Here is a 21,913-nt window from a genome sequence, read left to right on the forward strand (position 1 = left end):
ACATAGATAGATAAGTATCCAAATGATCCAAAACTATTCACAGAAAAGCCCATCCATTCCCTACAGCATGACTCAGGGATCACAAATGTGTGGAACCTTCTAGACATGCTATTCTTTTTCATTGGTTGATTTGTCCTTCTCTGACAGGTACCACATTATCTTAATTAATATAGCTTTTTATTTTTATTTATTTATTTATTTTATATGGAGTCTCGCTCTGTCGCCCAGGCTGGAGTGCAGTGGCATGATCTCAGCTCACTGCAAGTTCTGCCTCCCAGATTCAAGCGATTCTCCTGCCTCAGTCTCCTGAGTAGCTGGGATTACAGGCATGAGCCACCGCACCTAGCTAATTTTTGTATTTTTAGCAGAGACAGGGTTTCGCCATGTTGGCCAGGCTGGTGTCGAACTTCTGACCTCAGGTGATCTTCCCACCTCGGCCTCCCAAAGTGCTGGGATTACAGGCATGAGCCACTGCGCCTGGCCTACTATAGCTTTTGAAATAGGTCTTGACATCAAATTGTGTATGTTTTCTGGTTTTATCCTGCCAGATTACTTTTGGTTGTATTTTTGGTAGAGACGGAGTTTCACCATGTTGGCCAGGCTGGTCTCAAACTTCTGACCTCAAGTGATCCACCTGCCTCAGCCTCCCAAAGTGCTGGGATTACAGGCGTGAACCACTGTGCCTGGCCTCACAAGAATTCCTTTTTATTTTGAGACGGAGTTTTGCTCTTGTTGCCCAGGCTGGAGTGCAATAGTGCAATCTTGGCTCACTGCAACCTCTGCCTCCCGGGTTCAAGCAATTCTCCTGCCTCAGCCTCCCAAGTAGCTGGGATTACAGGCACGCACCCAGCTAATGTTTGTGTTTTTTATAGAGACAGGTTTTCACCGTGTTGGCCAGGATGGTCTCGATCTCCTGGGTAACAACGCTTCCTTCCTTCAAAGTCAGTTCTGCTATTCATGTGGACCTAATGTCTCTAGGATCTTGTGCCCTCATTAGTGGCCTGGAAGGACGCCCAGACCTTCCAGTTCATCAGGGGTTGAAGTGGGCGATAGTTGTTCACCATCATCTTCTTCTCTTCACCAAGTGCAGAAAACAGGAGAGTACGAAATGCAGAGAGCTGGAATAGAGGGCAGCCAGGGTGAGCTTGGTATGAGTGCAGGGTGAGCCAGCCCCCGGGTGTCCCTCAGGCCTTGTGTGGTCTCCTCCCATGCTGAATCAGGATGGCCTGAAATGACCAGTAAAGATGGTGGAAGTGATGGTGTGTGCAGGGCCAGGTTATAAAAGGCATTGCCGCTTCCGCCTTGGTCTTTAGGATCACTTGCTCTGGGGGGAAGCTGGTCACCATATTGGGAGGGTACTCAAGCAGCCCCGAGGAGAGGCCCACAGGGAAAGGAGCTGAGGCTCCCAGCCAACTGCCAGCGCCAACTTGCCATCCACTTGAGAGGGCCAACCTTGGAATGAATCCTCTAGCCCTAGTTGAGCTTTCAGATCGCTACAGTCCCAGCTGACACTGGGCTACAATTCATGAAAGATGGTAAGCCAGAGCCACCCAAATTCACAACCCAAGGAAACTATGGGAGATAATAAATGATTGGTTTTTGTTGTCGTTGTTGTTGTTTGAGACAGTGTTTCGCTCTTGTTTCCCAGGCTGGAGTGTCATTGGCAAGATCTCAGCTCGCTGCAACCTCCGCCTCCCAGGTTCAAGCGATTCTCCTGCCTCGGCCTCCCGAGTAATTGGGATCACAGGCATGAGCCACCATGCCCGGCTAATTTTTTTTTTTTTTTTTTGAGATGGAATTTTGCTCCTGTTGCCCAGACTGGAGTGCAATGGTGTGATCTTTGCTCACCGCAACCTCCGCCTCCTGGGTTCAAGGGATTCTCCTGCCTCAGCCTCCTGAGTAGCTGGGCTTACAGGCATGCACCACCACGCCCGGCTAATTTTGTATTTTTAGTAGAGATGGGGTTTCTCCATGTTGGTCAGGCTGCTCTCAAACTCCTGACCTCAGGTTATCCACCTGCCTCGGCCTCCCAAAGTACTGGGATTATAGGCGTTAGCCACTGTGCTCAGCCTAATTTTGTATTTTTAGTAGAGACAGGGTTTCACCATGTTGGTCAGGCTGGTCTTGAACTCCTGACCTCAGGCGATCCACTCGCCTCGGCCCCCAAAGTGCTGGGATTACAGGCATGAGCTACTGCACCCGGCCCAAATGATTGTTTTCTAAAGCCACTATGTTTTGGAGCTATTTGTTACACAGCAATAGATAACTAACACCTATAATGTAAATGCTAAAGTAACATTTGAATTTACTTTTCACTCAAGGAACTAAAAGACTACTTTTTATGGCTGGATGCAGTGCCTCATGCCTGTAATCCCAGCACTTTGGGAGGCCAAGGTGGGTGAATCACCTGAGGTCAGGAGTTTGAGACCAGCCTGGCCAACATGGAGAATCCCCATCCCTACTAAAAATACAAAATTAGCCAGATGTGGTGGCTCATGCTTGTAATCCAGCTCCTCGGGAGGGTGAGGCAGGAGAAGCGCTTTAACCTGGGAGGTGGAGCTTGTGGTGAGCGAGATCACGCCATTGCACTCCAGCCTGGGCAACAGGGAAACTCTGTCTCAAAATAAATAAATAAATGAAAAATAAAAAAAGACTTTTTATGTATTATCTCACTTGTTCACAGAATATACTTATGAACTCTGTGAGGCAACTCACGCATTTAATTAAATTCAGAAGTGAGATTATGTCTACATGCTGACAGCATACTGGGCCAGTTAGCCCTGCATGATGATCCAGCGCCCCCTAGAATTGCGCGCGCATGGTGCACGTGGCCTCCTGGGCCATGACCACAGTGTGCTCATCCACATTTGTGGTCTGCACATTTGTTGACTGTCTCAGAAAGGCAGCCTTTCTCCTCCCCTGGAAAACTCCCCGCCTTCCAGGACATGTGCCTCCCTGGCTCCCCTGCTCAGGATAAGGAGCTCCTGCCCTGCATTTTTATATGACACCGGCCACCCTGGCTTAATACTATTGGCTTCGTTTCTACTTTCCTGCCAGACAGCAGTATTCTGAGACGAATGCCCTGTTCCTGTGCCGCCCCTCCACACCTGCCCCCCTCCCACCCTCTCTTGGTGGCACAGACCCAGAATGGGCACTTGTCACATATATGCTTGTTGAGTAGCATAAGGGCCTTGCTGACAAGGGGCCACCTTCAACAAAAGCCTTCCCCATGTCCAACAGCTCTGGTTTGGAGGTAGGCAGATATTCTGCATCCCACATCTCCACGTGCAAATGACATCATGCCATGGTTTGTATATAAGGGAATATTTTCACAGGCCCAGGAGACTGAAAGACCCTCTAAGAGCTCACCTGGAGCCCTCAGAAAGAGATGAGCCAGAGATGCTAAGTCCTGCTGCGACTGCTGAGAAACGTCTGCCGGGCGGGGGCGGGGCATAGGCAGCATGCCTGTGGCTCTGAACTGCCTTGGACAGACAGAATTGCTATAGATTCTTAAGATTTCCAGAAAAAAATGATAGTATAACTTTTATTTATTTTTTATTTTATTTTTTTGAGACAGTCTCACTCTGTCGCCCAGGTTGGAGTGCAGTGGTGCCATCTCAGCTCACTGCAACCTCCGCCTTCCAGGTTCAAGTGATTCTCCTACCTCAGCCTCCCAAGTAGCTGGCACTACAGGCACACGCCACCATGCCTGGCTAATTTTTGTATTTTTATTTATTTATTTATTTGAGATGGAGTTTTGCTCTTGTTGTCCAGGCTGGAGTGCAGTGGTGCGATCTCGGCTCACTGCAGCCTCCACCTCCCGGCTTCAAGTTATTCTCTTGCCCCAGCTTCCCAAGTAGCTGATATTACAGGCGTGCACCACCACGCCTGGCTAATTTTGTAGATTTAGTAGAGACGGGGTTTCACCATGTTGGTCAGGCTGGTCTCGAACTCCTGGCCTCAAGTGATCTGCCTGTCTCAGCCTTCTAAAGTGCTAAAATTATAGGCATGAGCCATGACGCCCAGCCCAATAGTATAACTTTTAAAAATGTATACAAGGATTATTAACTAATTTTCGAAAAAAAAAAAAAGCAATGAAACTATTTAGATAAGAAAAAGGAGGCCGGGCTCGGTGGCTCATGCCTGGAATCCCAGCACTTTGGGAGGCCAAGGTGGGCAGATCACCTGAGTTCAAGACCAGCTTGGCCAACATGGTGAAACCCCGTCTCTACTAAAAATACAAAAATTAGCCAGGCGTGGTGATGGGTGCCTGTAATCCCAGCTACTCGAGAGGCTGAGGCAGGAGAATTGCTTGAACCCAGGAGGTGGAGGTAGTAGTGAGCTGAGATCGAGCCACTGCACTGCAGCCTGGGCGACAGAGCGAGACTCTGTCTCAAAAAAAAAAAAAGGAAAGAAAAGAAAAAGGAAGAAAACAAAAACCATGCAGACCCATGACGCTGGGACAACTCCCATGGATGCCTTGTGTGTCTGTGTGTGATAGATTAGGGCGTTGCTCAGAACATGCTCGCTGTGATCACTGGAACCGCTGTCCAATCTCAACAAGCTCCTACTTCAATTGGAACTTTCTTCTTGTGTAAGAACACCCCAAATGCATGAAAGAATATATATAACTCCTCAAGGCTCTTATGCAGCATCTTAGTGACGCTGCCAAGCAAGAGAGACGCCTTCCATGAAGCGCCATCATGCCAGTTACGGGCACGGCTCACTTGGCTTGGGGCCACTTCAACGGGCTCCTTCTGGATGATCCAGGTGACCGACTCGGTCAGCGGCGGGGTGGTGAGCGAGCCCACATAGGTCCAGTAATCCCAGCAGGTGGGCAGCAGAGCGGAGGGGTCGAAGGGGCGCATGGCCGCCTGCGCGTCCTGAGAGACCGAGAAGCACAGGCCGTATCAGTCCTCAGGTGGGACTAGGAGCTTCCATCTTGTCTCAGCACGGGAGGCCTTCATGGTGCTTGGAAGGAAGTGCTTTCCCCGAGATAAGGCCATGAGGCCACTGCTGTCACACTTGGAAGCAGTGATAAGAAAATGTGAGCCTTCTATACAGAGCAAGGATTCCTGCCAACTTACATTGGTGGGAATTACATTACATTACACCAGCTTATGTTGGTGCTTACATTTTTCCTTTTGAAGTCATTTCTTGGGGCGCAGTAGCTCACCCCTGTAATCTCAGCACTTTGGGAGGCCGAGGCGGGTGGATCACTTGAGGTCAGGAGTTCGAGACCAGCCTGGTCAACATGATGAAACCCTGTCTCTACTAAAAATACAAAAATTATCCAGATGTGGTGGTGGGCGCCTGTAGTCCCAGCTACTCAGGAGGCTGAGGCAAGAGAATTGCTTGAGCCCAGGAGGCAGAGGTTGCAGTGAGCTGAGATCACGCCACTGCACTCCAGCCTGGGCAACAGAGTGAGACTCTGTCTCAAATAATAATAATAATTAATAAATAAATAATAAAAAATTAAAAAGCCATTTCTTTTAGCATACCTTGGCTGCAAAAAATATTACTTTTTATTGTGATAAAATATACATAACATAAAATTTACCGTCTTAACCTTTTTTTTTTTTTGAGATGCAGTTTTGCTCTTGTTGCCCAGGCTGGGGTGCAATGGTGCGATCTTGGCTCACTGCAACCCTTCGCCTCCCAGGCTCAAGTGATTCTCCTGCCTCAACCTCCTGAGTAGCTGGGATTACAGGCACCCGCCACCACATCTGCTAATTTTGTATTTTTAGTAGAGACGGGGTTTCTTCATGTTGGTCAGGCTGGTTTTGAACTCCCAATCTCAGGTGATTCACCTGCCTCAGCCTCCCACAGCGCTGGGATGAGAGGCATGAGCCACCATGCCCGGCCCATCTTAACCATTTTGAAGTGTAAAATTTGATGGCGTTAAATGCAGTCACATTGTGGTGCAACCATCTCCACCATCCGTCTCCAGAACTTTTCCATCATCCCAAACTCAAATTCTGTCCTGACCCCACTAAACACTATGTCCAGCTTCCTCCCCCAGGCCTGGCACCCACCATTCTGCTTCCATCTCTCTGAATCTGAGGACTCTGGGGACCTGATGTGGGTGGGATCCTGTGGTTTTTGTCTTTTGTGTCTGGCTTATTTCACTGGGCATAATGTCCTTCAGGTTTATCCACATTGGAGCATGTGTCAGGAGTCCCTGCATTGTTGCTTTTTTTTTTTTTTTTTTGAGACAGAGTCTCGCTGTGTCACCCAGGCTGGCGTGCAGTGGTGTGATCTCGGCTCACTGCAAGCTCCGCCTCCTGGAGTTCAAGACCAGCTTGAACTCCTGGGTTCATGCCATTATCCTGCCTCAGCCTCCCCAGTAGCTGGGACTATAGGCACCCGCCACCACGCTCGGCAAATTTTTTGTATTTTTAGTAGAGACGGGGTTTCACCATGTTAGACAGGATGGTCTCGATCTCCTGACCTCGTGATCCGCCCACCTCGGCCTCCCAAAATGTTGGGATTACAGGCATGAGCCACCGTGCCTGGCTTGCCTGGAGACATTTCTACTGCTACCTTACCGATCAGGGTATCCAGTATCTCCGTGATTACCTTCATCTGTCCCTGGAAACTGTGCCTGCCACCCTACGCTGCAGCCGTCCAGGGACTGGCAGGCCTCGGCCTAAAGGTCTGGAGGGTGGGCGACCTGCAAGACTCACAAGAGGGGAAGCCGACAGACATACCTACAGACGGAGTGCTGTGCCCCTGGTGCCGATAAGAAAGCTGAGGCTCGGGCTGGGTCAGCAACCGAATTCCAGTTTAGAGGCAGATTTGGTCGTGGACATGGCCAGCCACCTCCGTAAAATTAGAGAGGATTATTTTGCATTGAATACACTCACAGCCAAAAAACAAAAAAAAAAGAGTCAGGGTCTTACTTTGTCAACTAGGCAGGAGTGCAATGATGCCATCATAGCTCACTGCAGTCTCTAATTCCTGGGCTCAAGTGATCCCCCCGCGTCAGTCTCCCAAGTAGCTAGGACACCATACCAGGGTTTAAAATTAATTGTTTGTAGCCAGGGGGTCTTGCCATCTTGCCCAAGCTGTTCTCCAACTCCTGGGCTCCAGTGATCCTCCTGCCTTGGCCTCTCAAAATATTGGGATTACAGGCATAAGCCACTGTGCCCAGCCAGCTCTTTTGGATATATACCCAGAAGTGTGTGATTGCTGAATCATAGGGTAGTTCTATTTATAACTTTTTATTTTTTTTATTTTTTTGAGGCAGAGTCTCACTCTGTCTTCCAGGCTGGAGTGCCGTGGCATGATCTCGGCTCATGGTGGTTGGGCCTGGCCGCAACACAGCCCTCATCAGCGTCCCATGCCAACCAAGCACAACTCTGCACCTGTCCCTGGCCAGCACTGTGGGACAAGAGTCCAGTCCAAAGTGACAGAGTCTCTGTCTGGAAGGAAGATGGCCTCCCTGCTCAGCCACATCACATCACCTTGACTTTGCTGGGCCCTGGCCTTCCAAGGTGGAAGCCAGCAACCTAGATGCCTTGGGCTTGTCTCCTAACATCAAGCAGTGAGGGTCAGGGTCAAGAGAGGCGGCTGAGCTACCAGAAGGAAGCCCAGGAGTGTCCACGCCGGCAGACACATGCATCAGTTCTGTGCACACGTGTTCACGTTTATAATTATCCAGTTAATTAAAAAAAAAAAACAGCATTATAGGCTGGGCACAGTGGCTCATGCCTGTAATTGCAGCACTTTGGGAGGCCAAGGCAGGCAGATCACCTGAAGTCAGGAGTTCAAGACCAGCCTGACCAACATGGCGAAACCCCGTCTCTACTAAAAATACAAAAATTAGCCAGGCATGGTGGCAGGTGCCTGTCATCCCAGCTACTCGGGAGTCTGAGACACAAGAATTGCTTTAGCACAGGAGGCAGAGGTTGCAGTGAGCCAAGACTGCACCATTGCACTCCAGTCTGGGCAACAGAGAGAGACTCGGTCTCAAACAACAACAACAGCAACAAAACCCACAGCATTATTGTGATAGAATTCACATACCATGCAACTCTCCCATCTAAAGTGTACAACCTGGTTGGGCGCGATGGATCATGCCTGTAATCCCAGCACTTTGGGAGGCCGATGTGGGAGGACTGCTTGAGGCCAGGAGTTTGAGACCAGCCTAAGCAACATAACAAGAATCTGACTCTACAAAAAACACAAAAACTAGCCAGGTGCAGTGGTACATGCCTGTGGTCCCAGGTAGTTGGGAGGTTGAGGTGGGAGGATGGCTTGAGCCCCGGAGGTTGAGGCTGCAGTGAGCTGTGATCATACCAGTGCACTCTAGCCTGGGTGACAGAGTGAGATCCTTTCTTAAAATAAGTAAATAGGCCGGGCACAGTGGCTCATGCCTGTAATCCCAGCACTTTGGGAGGCCAAGGCGGGTGGATCACCTGAAGTCGGGAGTTCGAGACCAGCCTGACCAACATGGCGAAACTGCGTCTCTACTAAAAATACAAAATTGGCCAGGCGTGGTGGTGCATGCCTGTAATCCCAGCTACTCGGGAGGCTGAGGCAGGAGAATCGCTTGAACCTGGGAGGCAGAGGTTGCAGTGAGCTGAGATCATGCCATTGCACTCCAGCCTGGGCAACAAGAGTGAAACTCCATCTCAAAAAAAAAAAAAAAAAAAAACCAGAAAAAGTAAATAAAAATTGAAGTGTACAATTCTATGGTTTTGGGTATATTCACAGTTGTGCAGCCATCCCAAGTCAATTTTAGAACATTTTCAGCACCTCAAGGAGGAAGCTTGGTACTTTTTAGCTCTTCTCCCCACCCCCGCCGTGCTGCTTCTGTCTCTGTGGGTTTCATAGGAACTGAGTCATGTAACATGTGGAACATTTGTGTCTTGCGTCTGTCACTTAGTACGGTGCTTTTGAGGCTCACCCACACCGCAGCGTGAGTTAGAGCTGTGTCCTTTCTGATTGCCAAGTAATATCTCATTGCATGGTCTAGCTGGGTTGACATCCCATTGCACACTCTAGCTGGGCTGTGAAGGAGCAGGCTGCTTGTGCACATGGGTAACAGATGGATGTACAGTGAGACGTCAGTCTGTGCACATGGGTAACAGGTGGGTGCACCGTGAGGTGTTGGTCTATGCACATGGGTAACAGGCGGGTGTGCAGTGAGACGTCAGTCTGTGCACATGGGTAACAGGTGGGTGCACAGTGAGGTGTTAGTCTGTGCACATGGGTAACAGGCGGGTGTGCAGTGAGATGTCAGTCTGGTGCGCGTGGGTAACAGGCAGGTGTGCAGTGAGGCGTCAGTCTGGTGCACGTGGGTAACAAGTGGGTGTGCAGTGAGGCGTCAGTCTGTACACGTGGGTAACAGGTGGATGTGCAGTGAGGTGTCAGTCTGGTGCACGTGGGTAACAGGCGGGTGTGCAGTGAGATGTCAGTCTGTGCACATGGGTAACAGGTCGGTGTGCAGTGAGACGTTGGTCTGTGCACATGGGTAACAGGCAGGTGTGCAGTGAGATGTCCTCTCCTCCTGCCGGCCACACGTCCCCGCTCCCAGGGCACAGATGTGCCAGTCACTTTCTGAGCAACTACTTCAAATCTTCAGAACAACCCTTCAAGAAGTATTTCTAGTTTACTGATGAAGATAGACAGACAGATATAAACAACTTGCCCAAAGCCACGTTGCCAGTCAGGGCCACTGAGGCCTGGCCCGTTCCAAGGTGCGGGCTCATCTCTCCCTCCCCAGGACTGCAGGAATCAGTCGGGGGAGCGGCAGGCCCCAGCCATTCCACTGCGTGCAGGTTTCCTGCCAATTAAGCTTTCCAGCCTTGGGCTGAGAAGAGGATGCCTGTGTGTTGCCTCATCGTCCCCAGGAGTTCCTGTCCTGTCTCTAAGATGCATGAGGGCTGGAGCAGCCATGTGGTTACAGAAAGCTGCTCCCCCTCAGGGCCCCCAGAGGAAGTCAGGGCCCTTCCTTTATGCGTGTGGTGAGCCCCAGGCAGCTAGAATGGGACACCGGTGAGCACACCAATGAGGCTGAAGACCATCACATCCATTATCTGAGCACGGATGGCCCAGCTACCTGTGGAAAGCACCACAAGCCTTTGCTGGCGGAAGTGGGTTGGTGACTTGTTCCACTTTTCTCTTATTTATTTATTTATTTTGAGACGGAGTTTCGCTCTTGTTGCCCAGGCTGGAGTGCAATGGCACGATCTCGGCTCACCACAACCTCCACCTCCCGGGTTCAAGCGATTCTCCTGCCTCAGCCTCCCTAGCAGCTGGGATTACACGCATGCACCATCACGCCTGGCTAATTTTGTATTTGTAATAGAGATGGGGTTTCTCTATGTTGGTCAGGCTCGTCTCAAACTCCTGACCTCAGGTAATCCACCCGCCTCAGCCTCCCACAGTGCTGGGATTATAGGCGTGAGCCACCGCTCTGTTCCTGGTTTTGTCTTCTTTCTCTTAAACAGGACCCCGCATTTTATGAGCGTCAAGCCTCACCCAGCCTAACTCCGCCCTTGGTTTGTCCTCTTAGAGTCTCAGTTTCCCCAGGTGTACGACAGGCAGTGTGGTGGCTGTAATGGGCTTCCATCAGTGCCTGCCACATGGGCGTGGGGCTCGGTAGGTGCTGCCGCTGCTGCTGCCAAAGCTAGAAGAGCCCCCACAGGGCATAGAGCCATTCCCTGGATCCCCTGGACCTGGTGGGCTGTTTCCAGCTCCACAAGGCAGCCAATTCCCCGGTAGCCCTGACTCTTGCGAAGGCAGGGAGGAGGGGGGGCCCCAGCAGCCTGAGGAGCTTGCAGCTTGTCCAGGCATGGAGGGTGGGGACCCTCTGTGGGCAGTTTTTGCCAAAACTTCTGGCTATGGTGAGAGGGTCAAAGGCGAAGCCTCGAGGTCTCCATTCTGGGAGTGTCTGCCCAGGGTCACCGGGGCCACACTGGGGCTGGGCCTGCGTGCTGGGAGCTGAGTGCATAGTGACAGGTCAGCACTGGTAGGGGCCTGTGCAGATGGGACGGCGCTGGGGGTGGGGGTGGGGGTCCGGGCTTCCAGGCGGCGCCTAATGTGGTTTTGGTTATAGACACTGCCTGTGTTTCCCTCTAAGCTGCTGAAAAGCTCAGAAATGTGCAGCAGGGCCTGGAGCTCAGCCTGGGTTCTGACTGCATGTGGGAGGTGGGCGCTGGGACGACTGGGAGTTCAGGCTGCATGGAGCCACTTCCTGGGTTTAAAAACGGGCTCTTCACCTGCCACCTGTGTGCCCGGGCAAGGCCTTCTCTGCCTCTCTGAGCTTTGGTTTCCCTGTGTGTGCAAGACAGATGAATCACAGGCCCTGCCCCATGGAGTGATTGGAAGATTCAGTGTGATGATTTATATGGAGGGCTGTCGCTTCTTTGAACCCTTCCCACCGAGGTGTGGGGTGATGTCGCCTTGCCCTGAGCCTGGGCAGGTGCTCCTGGTGGGAGTGGTGAACAGGATGCCGCAGGAGCAGTGCTTTGTGACTCTGGAAGCCAGGGCAGAAAAGACATCGTGTCCATCTGGCTCTTTCTGGAAATGCACCCTTGGAGCCCTGAGCACTGCATAGAAGCCAGCTGGGTCCCCAGGGAATGACCGTGGCAGGCATTCCTGGAGGGTCTCTGCCGAGTCAGTCCCACATCAGGGCCCGGACCAGCCTGGAACTAGGAGAGATGATGGGGACTACGTGACTCTGGTCTTTCCTGCCCTAGTTCAGGACAGCTTGTTCCTTAACTGGAGGAAACCAGGAAAGCAGCCCAGAAGCTGCAGATGAGCCCATCCCTGGGTGAGGACTGCTGAGTCCGAGGGGGTGAGAGGCAGAGCTGGGATTTGAAGCCAAGGCCATCTGCCCTTGAGCCTGAGGCCACCACGGCCCCGTCCTGCCCTGCACTGCCCACCAATCAGGAGTTAGATTCAACCACACTTCTAGCATTTTCCATCAGAAGGCCATCATTCTAAAGTTTCATGGACTCCCAAAAGGTAATAGCTCTCTCTGGGAACCAGCTGACTGAAAGCACCCGCAGCAACAAAAAGCGACTTTAACCTTAGTGATTGGGCTGGTGGATTTTCGTTTCGTGACAGGCAGCAGCAGCCTGTGCATTCCACAGCAGACGTGTGTGTGTGAGTGTTGGCCACAGCTGGGCCTTAAACTCAACTGCACATTTCACCAAGAACCAGACATGCTCCTTATTCCATTACATGGTGAGAATGCTGCTCTAGTGTGGATTTTTTTTTTTTTTGGAGACGGATTCTCGAGCTGTCACCCAGACTGGAGTGCAGTGGCATGATCTCGGCTCACTGCAACCTCCATCTCCTGGGTTCAAGCGATTCTCCTGCCTCAGCCTCCTGAGTAGCTGGGATTACAGGAGTGTGCCACCACACCCAGCTAATTTTTGTATTTTTAGTAGAGATGGGGTTTTGCCATGTTGGCCAGGCTGGTCTTGAACTCCTGACCTCAGGTGATCTACCCACCTCGGCCTCCCTAAGTGCTGGGATTACAGGTGTGAGCCACCGCGCCCGGGCTACTGTGGATGTTTAACATCTCCATTTCACAGGCGAGGAAGCTGAGGCTCAGAGGTGCGCAGCTCAGGAGTGGTGGATCAGGGCTCTGGACCCAGGAGTCCAACTGTGGGGCTCTCTGATACACTGTGCTATGGGAGAAGCTCCCAGAAGTCCTAGGCTAGGAGCCTCTAGGCGAGAGGGTTGTTCAAGTCTCTTCCCATTCCCTGACCCGTGAAGCATAGACTCTTGCCCCCAAGGCTGGGTCTTTTACCTCCTAAGGTCTTTTTTTTTTTTTTTTTTTTTGAGATGAGTCTCGCTGTGTCACTCGGCCTGGAGTGCAGTGGCACAATCTCAGCTCACTGCAACCTCCATCTCCCAGATTCAAGCAATTCTCCCGCCTCAGCCTCCCGAGTAGCTGGGATTACAGGCACCCGCCACCATGCCTGGCTAATTTTTGTAGTTTTAGTAGAGATAGGCTTTCACCATGTTGGCCAGGCTGGTCTTGAACTCCTGACCTAAGGTGGTCTGCCTGCTTTGGCCTCCCAAAGTGTTAGGATTACAGGCTTGAGCCACCGCACTCAGCCTCTTAAGGTCTTTTAATTTCTCAAAGGTCTAACTCGGCCAGGCGCGGTGGTTCACGCCTGTAATCCCAGCAATTTGGGAGGCCAAGGTGGGCGGATCACTTGAGGTCAGGAGTTTGAGATCAGCCTGGCCAACATGGTGAAACCCCGTCTCTACTAAAAATACAAAAATTAGCCAGGCATGGTGGTGGGCGCCGGTACTTCCAGCTACTCAGGAGGTTGAGGCAGGAGAATCAATTGAACCTGGAAGGCGGAGGTTGCAGTGAGCCGAGGTCGCGCCATTGCACTCCAGCCTGGGCAACAGAGCGAGATTCTATCTCAAAAAAAAAAAAAAAAAAAGAGTCTAACTCTTTATTTTCAGCTGAGGGGATGAGCCCAGAGATCAGCATCAGGACCAGAGCTCAGTCCGCGGTGGCACTTCCTCCCCTGTCCCGGGCATCATTCCTCCCCTGTGGTTTGCCTAGAAAATTCTGACTTACCCCATGGGGAAGAAATGCTCCAGAACCTTCCCCAGGAGGAAAACAGCCCTTGGGTAAAGGGTCCTTCACAGCCAGCTCTTTTCTTTCCCACCAAGAGGTGGGACCACCTGGTGTGGAAGGTGGAGGCTGGCTGGGAAAACAACCCCTCCCCAGGTTTCCTCTGGCTGTGGAGCCGCGCGGAGGAAGAGGATGGGGCGTCAGAGCTCTCAGAACCGTGGCCTTGTGAAGTTTCTGAGCAGGCAGATGGGGCGGCGGGGGGTGATCTGGTCCCAGTCCCAGGAGGCCGCCCCGAAGCCAGCATCAAGGCGAAGGCCACGTACAGATCAAACGGCTCCTTGAACCGCGAGGAAGGGCTTGCCCCAGCTCCATCTGGACCAGCCCGCACCATTGTTAACACAGGTTGAAGCCTCATCCTTCCGCACATCTGAGGCTTGCGTTGACTCCTTCTGCCCTGGAATTCTTTTGTTTGCTGCTGAATAAATAAACTACATTTCTTTGGAATTTCTCCTTCTCCCTCAAAGCCTTTTCTCAGCTGATCTTGGAGAAAGGCGACACTCTTGTCCCCGTCATCTTTTCGAGCTGTGCTGGATGCAGGGAAGCGTATGGAGAGCTGGGCGCTGGATGCAGGGAAGCGTGTGGAGAGCTGGGCGCTGGATGCAGGGAAGCGTGTGGAGAGCTGGGCCGGAGAGCCGCGGTTTGGGCAGGTTTCTCTCTGCCCTTGGGCTTGGGGTCGGACAGGGACGTTCAAGGAGATGCTGGGTGGTACATGAGTCAACATTCTTAAATGTTATTAGTTAGGGATTTGAGGTTTTTGTTTCAATCTGTTTTCAAACAAACATTATCATTAGTGAATATCATCACCCAGGACAAGGCTAAAAATTTTTCGAGCTAATCAATTTAAAGAAAAATATTAAGTAGGCTGGGCGCGGTGATTCACGCCTGTAATCCCAGCACCTTGGGAGGCCAAGGCGGGCGGATCACCTGAAGTCCCCAGTTTGAGACCAGCCTGGCCAACATGGTGAAACCCCGTCTCTACTAAAAATACAAAAATTAGCTGGGTGTGGTGGCGCACACCTATTGTCCCAACTGCATGGGAGGCTGAGGCAAGAGAATTGCTTGAACCCGGGAGGCGGAGGTTGCAGTGAGCCGAGATCGCGCCACTGCATTCCAGCCTGAGTGACAGAGGGAGACTCCTCGAAAAAATAAAAAAGAAAAGAAAAATATTCAGTAGAAAGTTGTCCCATTGGCAGGCAGATACGTCAAAGTCTTCAGGATCTTGCCTGCATGACTGAATTTTGGGAACTTCCATTGAGCCCAACACCCTTATTTTATGGAGGAGGAAACAGGGTCCCAGAGCAGTGGTGACGCATTCAAAGTCAGAGAGAGCTAGCTGTGGACACACGAGCATCAACCCTGCAGAATCCTGTTTCCAGAACTGGAATCACAGCGCCTCGGCGGGGCTCTTTCCACTATGAGATTTCTTTTTCCTTGCAAATGAATCGCTGCACTAAACAATTTTGCTTGTCAAATTATGCTGATTTCTTTCTTTTCTTTTTTTTTTTTTTTGAGATAGGATTTCACTCTTGTCACCCAGGCTGGAGTGCAACAGCGCAATCTCAGCTCACTGCAACCTCCACCTCTGGGTTCAAACGATTCTCCTGCCTCAGCCTCCCGAGTAGCTGGGATTGCAGGCATGTGCCACGACACCCTGCTAATTTTGTATTTTTAGTGGAGGCGGGATTTCTCCATGTTGGTCAGGCTGGTCTCGAACTCCCGACCTCAGGTGATCCACCTGCCTCAGCCTCCCAAAGTGCTGGGATCACAGGCGTGAGCCTCCGCGCCCGGCCTGCTGATTTCAAATATGCAGCTTACCTTATGTTTTACTTCCAGCAAGATGTCCACCAGCCTCTGCAGCATCTGATGATGGGCCCCGAGCTGCGTGGCAGACACACAAGGGGTTAGCTGAAAAGGCAATGGGTGGCGGGGGGAAGCTCACTCCACTGTAAATACACCACGTTTTAAAAGCAATCCTAGGCCAGGCACGGTGGCTCACGCCTGTGATCCCAGCACTTTGGGAGGCCGAGGTGGGCAGATACCTAAGGTCAGGAGTTTGAAACCAGCCTGGCCAATATGGTGAAACCCTGTCTCTACTAAAAATACAAAAATTAGCTGGGTGTGGTGGCACACTCCTATAGTCCCAGCTACTGGGGAGGCTGAGGCAGGAGAATCACTTGAACCCAGGAGGTGGAGGTTGCAATGAGCCGAGACCACGCCACTGCACTCCAGCCTGTGTGACACAGCGAGTCCTGTCTCAAAAAAAAAAAGCAATCCTAATGATGGATCACCACTTTCTTCATTAGATCTACACCCCAGCAAGTGATTACCTTTAAAAACACGCCTATCACAGAAAGCATTCTCTCCCACGACAGCTTCCTTGTAATTTTGGTATTTCACAGAATTCCAGTGAACTAAATGCAGCTGAAACACAATGGAAAGAGAACTTAAATTGATCAGCAAGAAATAAGACAGTCACTTCCCCTTCTGAATGGCTGACCTATGTGTCCACTTAATCATAATGAAATGGCCAGGCGTGGTGGCTCACACCTGTAATCCCAGCACCTTGGGAGGCCGAGGTGGGTGGATCACGAGGTCAGGAGATCAAGACCATCCTGGCTAACATGGTGAAACCCCGTCTCTACTAAAAATACAAAAAAAAAAAATTAGCCGGGCATGGTGATGGGCGCCTGTAGTCCCAGCTACTCAGGAGGCTGAGGCAGGAGAATGGCATGAACCCAGGAGGTAGAGCTTGCAGTGAGCTGAGATTGTGCCTCTGCGCTCCAGCCTGGGTGACAGAGCGAGACTCCGTCTCAAAAAAAAAAAAAAAGAACTAAGTTGTTGCAGCCAGATGTGTAAGATCCCAGCACCAGCAGCACCTCTGAGCTCCCAGGCACTTGACGAAGCCATGGGAAGGAAGAGCCTCAGTCTTCCTGGTGGTGGGAAAAAGGAGAGGATCATGTTAACCTCATCCAATAGAAATGGGTGGTTTCATTATTTTCTACTTCCTAGTTATCCTTGGACAAGGATTACCAGAAAAAACTCAGGCCTCGGCTGGGCGTGGTGGCTCACGCCTGTAATCCCAGCACTCTGGGAGGCCGAGGCGAGTGGATCACGAGGACAGGAGTTCAAGACCCGCCTGGCCAAGATGGTGAAACCCCGTCTCTACTAAAACTACAAAAATTAGCTGGGCGCGGTGGCAGGTGCCTGTAATCCCAGCTACTCAGGAGGCTGAGGCAGGAGAATCACTTGAACCTGGGCAGCAGAGGTTGCAGTGAGCCAAGATCGCGAGATCATGCGATCGCGCCACTGCACTCCAGCCTGGGGAACAGAGTGATACTCAGTCTCAAAAATAAATAAATAAATAAAATATCTGTTCATCAAAAACAAAGTTGCAGATAGAGATACTAAAATAAAAGGCATGTTGTTAAATGAAAGGAAGCACACAGAAGCCATTGTTGTGCTCATTCTTGGAACTATTTATAAATATGTGTATGATGATGACAATAGATATCACTCCCTATTTATAAAATGTCCAGAGGTCACCTCTGGGTGTGCGATTACAAGCAATTTTCATTTTTTGGTTTGGGTGCACTCTAGTTCCACATTAACTGCAGCATTACTTTCATAACAACAACAAGTTCAAAAAACAGAAAGAGTCCTCAACTTGAAAAAGCATCAAGAAGTCAGGTGAGTGGGTGAGCAGAGGTGTGATAAAGTGAATATGGCAAAAATGATCATCACAGGACTGAGACGTCAAACTCATAGATTCTTCTCGTTCATTTCTTTTCATTTTTTCATATGTTGCAAAAATTTCATAATAAAATATTTGGGGAAATCTATAAGGCATCACTTATCACCCAAAAAAACTACAAAAACCAATTCCCAGCATTGATCCGCACTCATTTTCTCTACTGACTCCCACTTTGGAATGTTGAAAATAAGACTGCTTTAAGAAGATGATCTTGGCTGGGTGCAGTGGCTCACGCCTGTTATCCTAGCATTTTGGGAAGCTGAGGTGGGTGGATCACTTGAGGTCAGGAGTTCGAGACTAGCCTGGCCAACATGGCAAAACCACATCTCTACTAAAAATACAAAAATTAGCAGGGCCTGGTGGCACGCACCTGTAATCCCAGCTACTCGGAAGGCTGAGGCAGGAGAATCGCTTGAGCCTGGGAGACGGAGGTTGTGGTGAGCCAAGATTGCACCAATGCACTCCAGTCTGGGTGACAGAGTGAACCCTGTTTCAAAAAAACAAAAAACAAACAAACAAAAGAAGATGATCTCTATTGCAAAGATGTTCAGCTTCTCAGCGGAGGGCCTTGTGGATTTGCTAGTCCCTACAGCTGCAAGCACACAGCTGAGTGAAGCGTGGCAAAGAGCTCAAGCTCTGACTTTGAATCCCAGCTGTCTGGCTTTGGCAAGTTCCGTAACCATTCAGAACCTCAGTCTCTTCTTCCGTTAAATGAGAGAACTTAAAGTGCCTTCTTCGTAGGAGAGGAGTGTGACTAAACGGGTGGGGCGGCCGACGGTTCTGGTTTGAGCACTGACAGTCCCAGGCCCCAGGAAATCCTTCACATCTGAGCGGCAGGCATGGCTTGTTCGCCCCCCACCATAGAGCCGGAGACATGGAAAGCGTCCAGATATGTGCCGTTAGGCCACGTCTACAAACCTCTGCGGGGTACACGTGGCCGTCCACTGTGTGCTCTGAGCCCCCCTCATTCACTGCTCCCCAGTGGAAGTGAAATTGCTTCAGTCTGTAGTGGTTTTCCAAGGGCCCGCCACTAATTCCTGGAAATAAAGGCAGCGAGACGTGTGTGTCATTTTGTCTGTTTGTTGAGCTGTGGTGTTACCTGAGGCATTGTCTACATTAGGGTTATATGAGTTCACTCGCAAGGGGTTGCTGTATGGTTGAAGTGACAAGCCAAAGGTGGGCTCCGTGAAAGGTGGGCTCTGTCTGTCCCATTCACTCTGCCCCCCGCCAGCCCAGCGCCTGCCCAGAGGTTCACAGTAAATGTGGAATGAAGGCAGGGTCCCAGTGCTGCCACTGGGTGGTGGTGAGGGCCTCATCTCCCTGCAGGCAGAAATCGATAAAGAAAGTTTCTGAGATGCCTGCCTGTCCTATAAGATTTCCAGACTTTAATTTAAAAAAAAAAGATGTCTTCCAAATATTTTTTAAAAGCAGCTTAAATCCTATCACCAAATAACATTATAAAATAACACAATGAGCAAAGTTTTTGTTTTGTTTTATTTTAAGACAGAATCTTACTCTATCGCCCAGGCTGGAGTACAATGGCATGATCTCAGCTCACTGCAACCTCCACCTCTGGGTTCTAGCGATTCTCCTGCCCCAGCCTCCTGAGTAGCTGGGATTACAGGCATGTGCCACCAGGCCAAGCCAATTTTTGTATTTTAAGTAGAGACAGGGTTTCACCATGTTGGCCAGGCTGGTCTCAAACTCCTGATCTCAGGTGATCCACTCGCCTCTGCCTCCCAAAGTGCTGGGATGACAGGTGTGAGCCACCGCTCCTGGGTGAGCAAGGTTTTTAAATAAGCAGACCCTGAGCTATAGCATCAGTCCTGATCTCTGGCAGTCCCTGCTTAATCTAGGCCCACCACAGGGCCAGCTTTTATTGGAACACTCCTTCCGTCCTAAGTCACCCTAAACACTCGCCTTGGAGTCAGCGCTCTCCACCTGCAGGACTTGGGGTGCCCCTCTCCATGGCACAGTGCCAGGTGCAGCCTCCCAGGAGCTTCCTTCTCCTGACACGTGGGGCTCAGCCATAAGCATCGCTCACTGAGGCCTCTGGCTCTGCCTCACAGAGTCATGGCTGCCATCCCCAGGTCCAGGTAGTGCTGGGAGTCTGCCTTTTAACGAGCTCCCCAGGGGTTCTGATGTGGGTGGCTTCTCCTGTGTCTAAGCACTTTGTCACTAACAGATTTCCATCAACAGCTGCTACAAATGTGGTACCTATTCCACACGTTTTCATTGAAAGGAGCACAGTGTGCTCCTGGGATGGCTGGGCAAGGCTGGAAGGCGCCAGCAGAACTGGAGCACTGATCACGAATTCGCGGTGGCCCGAGTGCCTCCCGTAGCTGTGGAGGAGCCTCGTGTCACCCGCCTTGCTCATGTCACCTCCCGCTGTGGCAAAAGCCAGGAAAGCACTGAGCGCATGACGAATGCCTTGGGGAGCTTGACACTGCTGACTCCTGGTGGTTTCCTGACACCAAAAGTACTTGGGCTGGGCGTGGTGGCTCACACCTGTAGTCCTAGCACTTTGGGAGGCCGAGACGGGTGGATCACTTGAGGTCAGGAGTTAGAGACCAGCCTGGCCAACGTGGTGAAACCCATCTCTACTAAAAATACAAAAATTAGCTGGGTGTGGTGGCGGGCGCCTGTACTCCCAGCTACTCAGGAGGCTGAGGCAGGAGAATTGCTTGAACCTGGGAGGTGGAGGTTGCAGTGAGCTGAGAACGTGCCACTGCACTCCAGCCTGGGCGACAGAGTGAGACTCAGTCTCAAAAAAAAAAAAAAAAAAGTACTCATAGTTGGAGGCACCAAGGTGTAAACTGGAAAATGGAAAATGGATTTGGCTTTGGTCCAGTCAGGGGCTAGGCAAGTGCTGGACCAAGCCACAGAGCTGCTCACTGCCCCTCTTCACTCAAAATCTCAGTGTTGGTCTGGAGCAACCTCGGAGTCATATGTAGTTTTAAAATTCTACCATTATGAGCAAGTCTTCTATTCTCCTTAAATATACACAGATGAATTACATCTCAATTTTTAAAAATACACAGAAAGAGTGCTTCACACAATCAGCACATAAAATCACTTTGTTAGGCCAGGCACAGTGGCTCACGCCTGTAATCCTAGCACTTTGGGAGGCCAAGGCAGTTGTATCACTTGAGATCAGGTGTTCAAAACCAGCCTGGCCAACATGCTAAAACCTTGTCTTTACTAAAAATACAAAAAATTAGCCAGGTGTGTTGGTGGGTGCCTGTAATCCCAGCTACTTGGGAGGCTGAGGCAGGAGAATCGCTTGAACCTGGGAGGTGGAGGTTGCAGTGAGCCGAGATCGTGCCAATGCACTCCAGCCTGGGCGATAGAGCGAGACTCTGTCTCAAAAACAAAACACAGGCGTGAGCCACTGTGCCTGGCCTCCAAAACACAATGTAAGGAACTTACAGAACCACAAAATGCAAGCACGGTGAGCTCTGTGCTCGCTTCGCCTCGGCCTGTGTCCGTGGTAGAAAGGGGGTTTGCAGCCTACCAGCCCCAGCGGCATCAAAGTGCATTGATGGGTGGCTGAGGGTGGAGCCTGCCAGGGGGTCTGCCTCTCGCTCTTGGGATGGGCTCACTCATGATAAGTTTACTGTGTGGAAATTCATGCATGTCTGTATCATCTCTTCTAGAATAGAAATGCCTAGAAGGCAGGGATGATGGATGCTTCATGGACAAGTTAGACTGGACCCAGCCTGGTAGATGTCATTTGTAAGACTGAGTTAAGTCCCATCCAGTTGCACTCTTAGGACAGAGGCTGTTTCTGGGCTGGGCATGGTGGCTCACGCCTGTAATCCCAGCACTTTGGGAGGCCAAGGTGGGAGGATCACCCAAGGTCAGGAATTCAAGACCAGCCTGACCAACATGGTCAAATCCCACCTCTACTAAAAATACAAAAAATTAGCCACGTGTGGTGGCAGGTGCCTGTAATCCCAGCTACTTGGGAGGCTGAGGCAGGAGAATTGCTTGAACCTGGTAGGCGGAGGTTAAAGTGAGCCAAGATCGCGCCACTGCACTCCAGCCTGGGCAACAAGAGCGAAACTCAGTCTCAAAAAAAACCAAAAACAAACAAACAAAAATGGCTGTTTCCGTCTGGACCATCACTGTATCAACACGACTTAGTGCAGGAAGGGGTCATTGAAGGCACACAACGAACCCTCACGGGATGAATGAATACAGGAATGAATGGGATTAGTCAGTTCATTGATTTATTCATCGAATCACTCGGTCGGTAAGCAGCTCTGTGTGTTACAGTGGAATCGAGCCTTTCCCACGGCAGTTTGGGAACCGCCTGGGATTTCTAGGAAAGTCCACAGAACACAGAAATAGTTAAAGACCTGGATTTGCAACTCAGCTCTGCTTCTAACTTGCTGTGTGACCCTGGGCAAGTAGCTTAGCCTCTCTGAGCCTAAGCCTCTCTACCTGTTAAACGAGAAGAGCGGGAAGGATAAATGGAGACAAGGCAGGAGGCATTTTGTAAAGTGTTGTCTGATGATGGCAGTGGTGGTGATTGTGCATCGCAC

At 50.8% G+C, this 21,913-nt stretch overlaps 1 pseudogene, besides 6 other annotated features; it reads right to left on the minus strand.

Annotated features, from left to right (window-relative positions):
- Positions 915–18,406, minus strand: LOC646828 (carbonic anhydrase 5A pseudogene; annotated as a pseudogene).
- Positions 6,034–6,535: an enhancer, noted in NCBI's record as "H3K4me1 hESC enhancer chr16:21549325-21549826 (GRCh37/hg19 assembly coordinates)". NCBI's record gives its function as "activates a minimal SCP1, AML or CMV promoter by ChIP-STARR-seq in naive H9 embryonic stem cells {active_cell/tissue: H9 hESC(naive)}" and the evidence as "EXISTENCE:reporter gene assay evidence [ECO:0000049][PMID:30033119]".
- Positions 6,536–7,035: an enhancer, noted in NCBI's record as "H3K4me1 hESC enhancer chr16:21549827-21550326 (GRCh37/hg19 assembly coordinates)". NCBI's record gives its function as "activates a minimal SCP1, AML or CMV promoter by ChIP-STARR-seq in naive H9 embryonic stem cells {active_cell/tissue: H9 hESC(naive)}" and the evidence as "EXISTENCE:reporter gene assay evidence [ECO:0000049][PMID:30033119]".
- Positions 9,042–9,780: an enhancer, noted in NCBI's record as "H3K27ac-H3K4me1 hESC enhancer chr16:21552333-21553071 (GRCh37/hg19 assembly coordinates)". NCBI's record gives its function as "activates a minimal SCP1, AML or CMV promoter by ChIP-STARR-seq in primed H9 embryonic stem cells {active_cell/tissue: H9 hESC(primed)}" and the evidence as "EXISTENCE:reporter gene assay evidence [ECO:0000049][PMID:30033119]".
- Positions 9,853–9,902: an enhancer, noted in NCBI's record as "active region_10557". NCBI's record gives its function as "activates an Ori minimal core promoter by ATAC-STARR-seq in GM12878 lymphoblastoid cells {active_cell/tissue: GM12878}" and the evidence as "EXISTENCE:reporter gene assay evidence [ECO:0000049][PMID:35858748]".
- Positions 17,827–18,327: an enhancer, noted in NCBI's record as "H3K4me1 hESC enhancer chr16:21561118-21561618 (GRCh37/hg19 assembly coordinates)". NCBI's record gives its function as "activates a minimal SCP1, AML or CMV promoter by ChIP-STARR-seq in primed H9 embryonic stem cells {active_cell/tissue: H9 hESC(primed)}" and the evidence as "EXISTENCE:reporter gene assay evidence [ECO:0000049][PMID:30033119]".
- Positions 19,070–19,571: an enhancer, noted in NCBI's record as "H3K4me1 hESC enhancer chr16:21562361-21562862 (GRCh37/hg19 assembly coordinates)". NCBI's record gives its function as "activates a minimal SCP1, AML or CMV promoter by ChIP-STARR-seq in primed H9 embryonic stem cells {active_cell/tissue: H9 hESC(primed)}" and the evidence as "EXISTENCE:reporter gene assay evidence [ECO:0000049][PMID:30033119]".

Source organism: Homo sapiens, chromosome 16 (genome assembly GCF_000001405.40).
Source record: "Homo sapiens chromosome 16, GRCh38.p14 Primary Assembly".
NCBI lineage: Eukaryota > Metazoa > Chordata > Mammalia > Primates > Hominidae > Homo > Homo sapiens.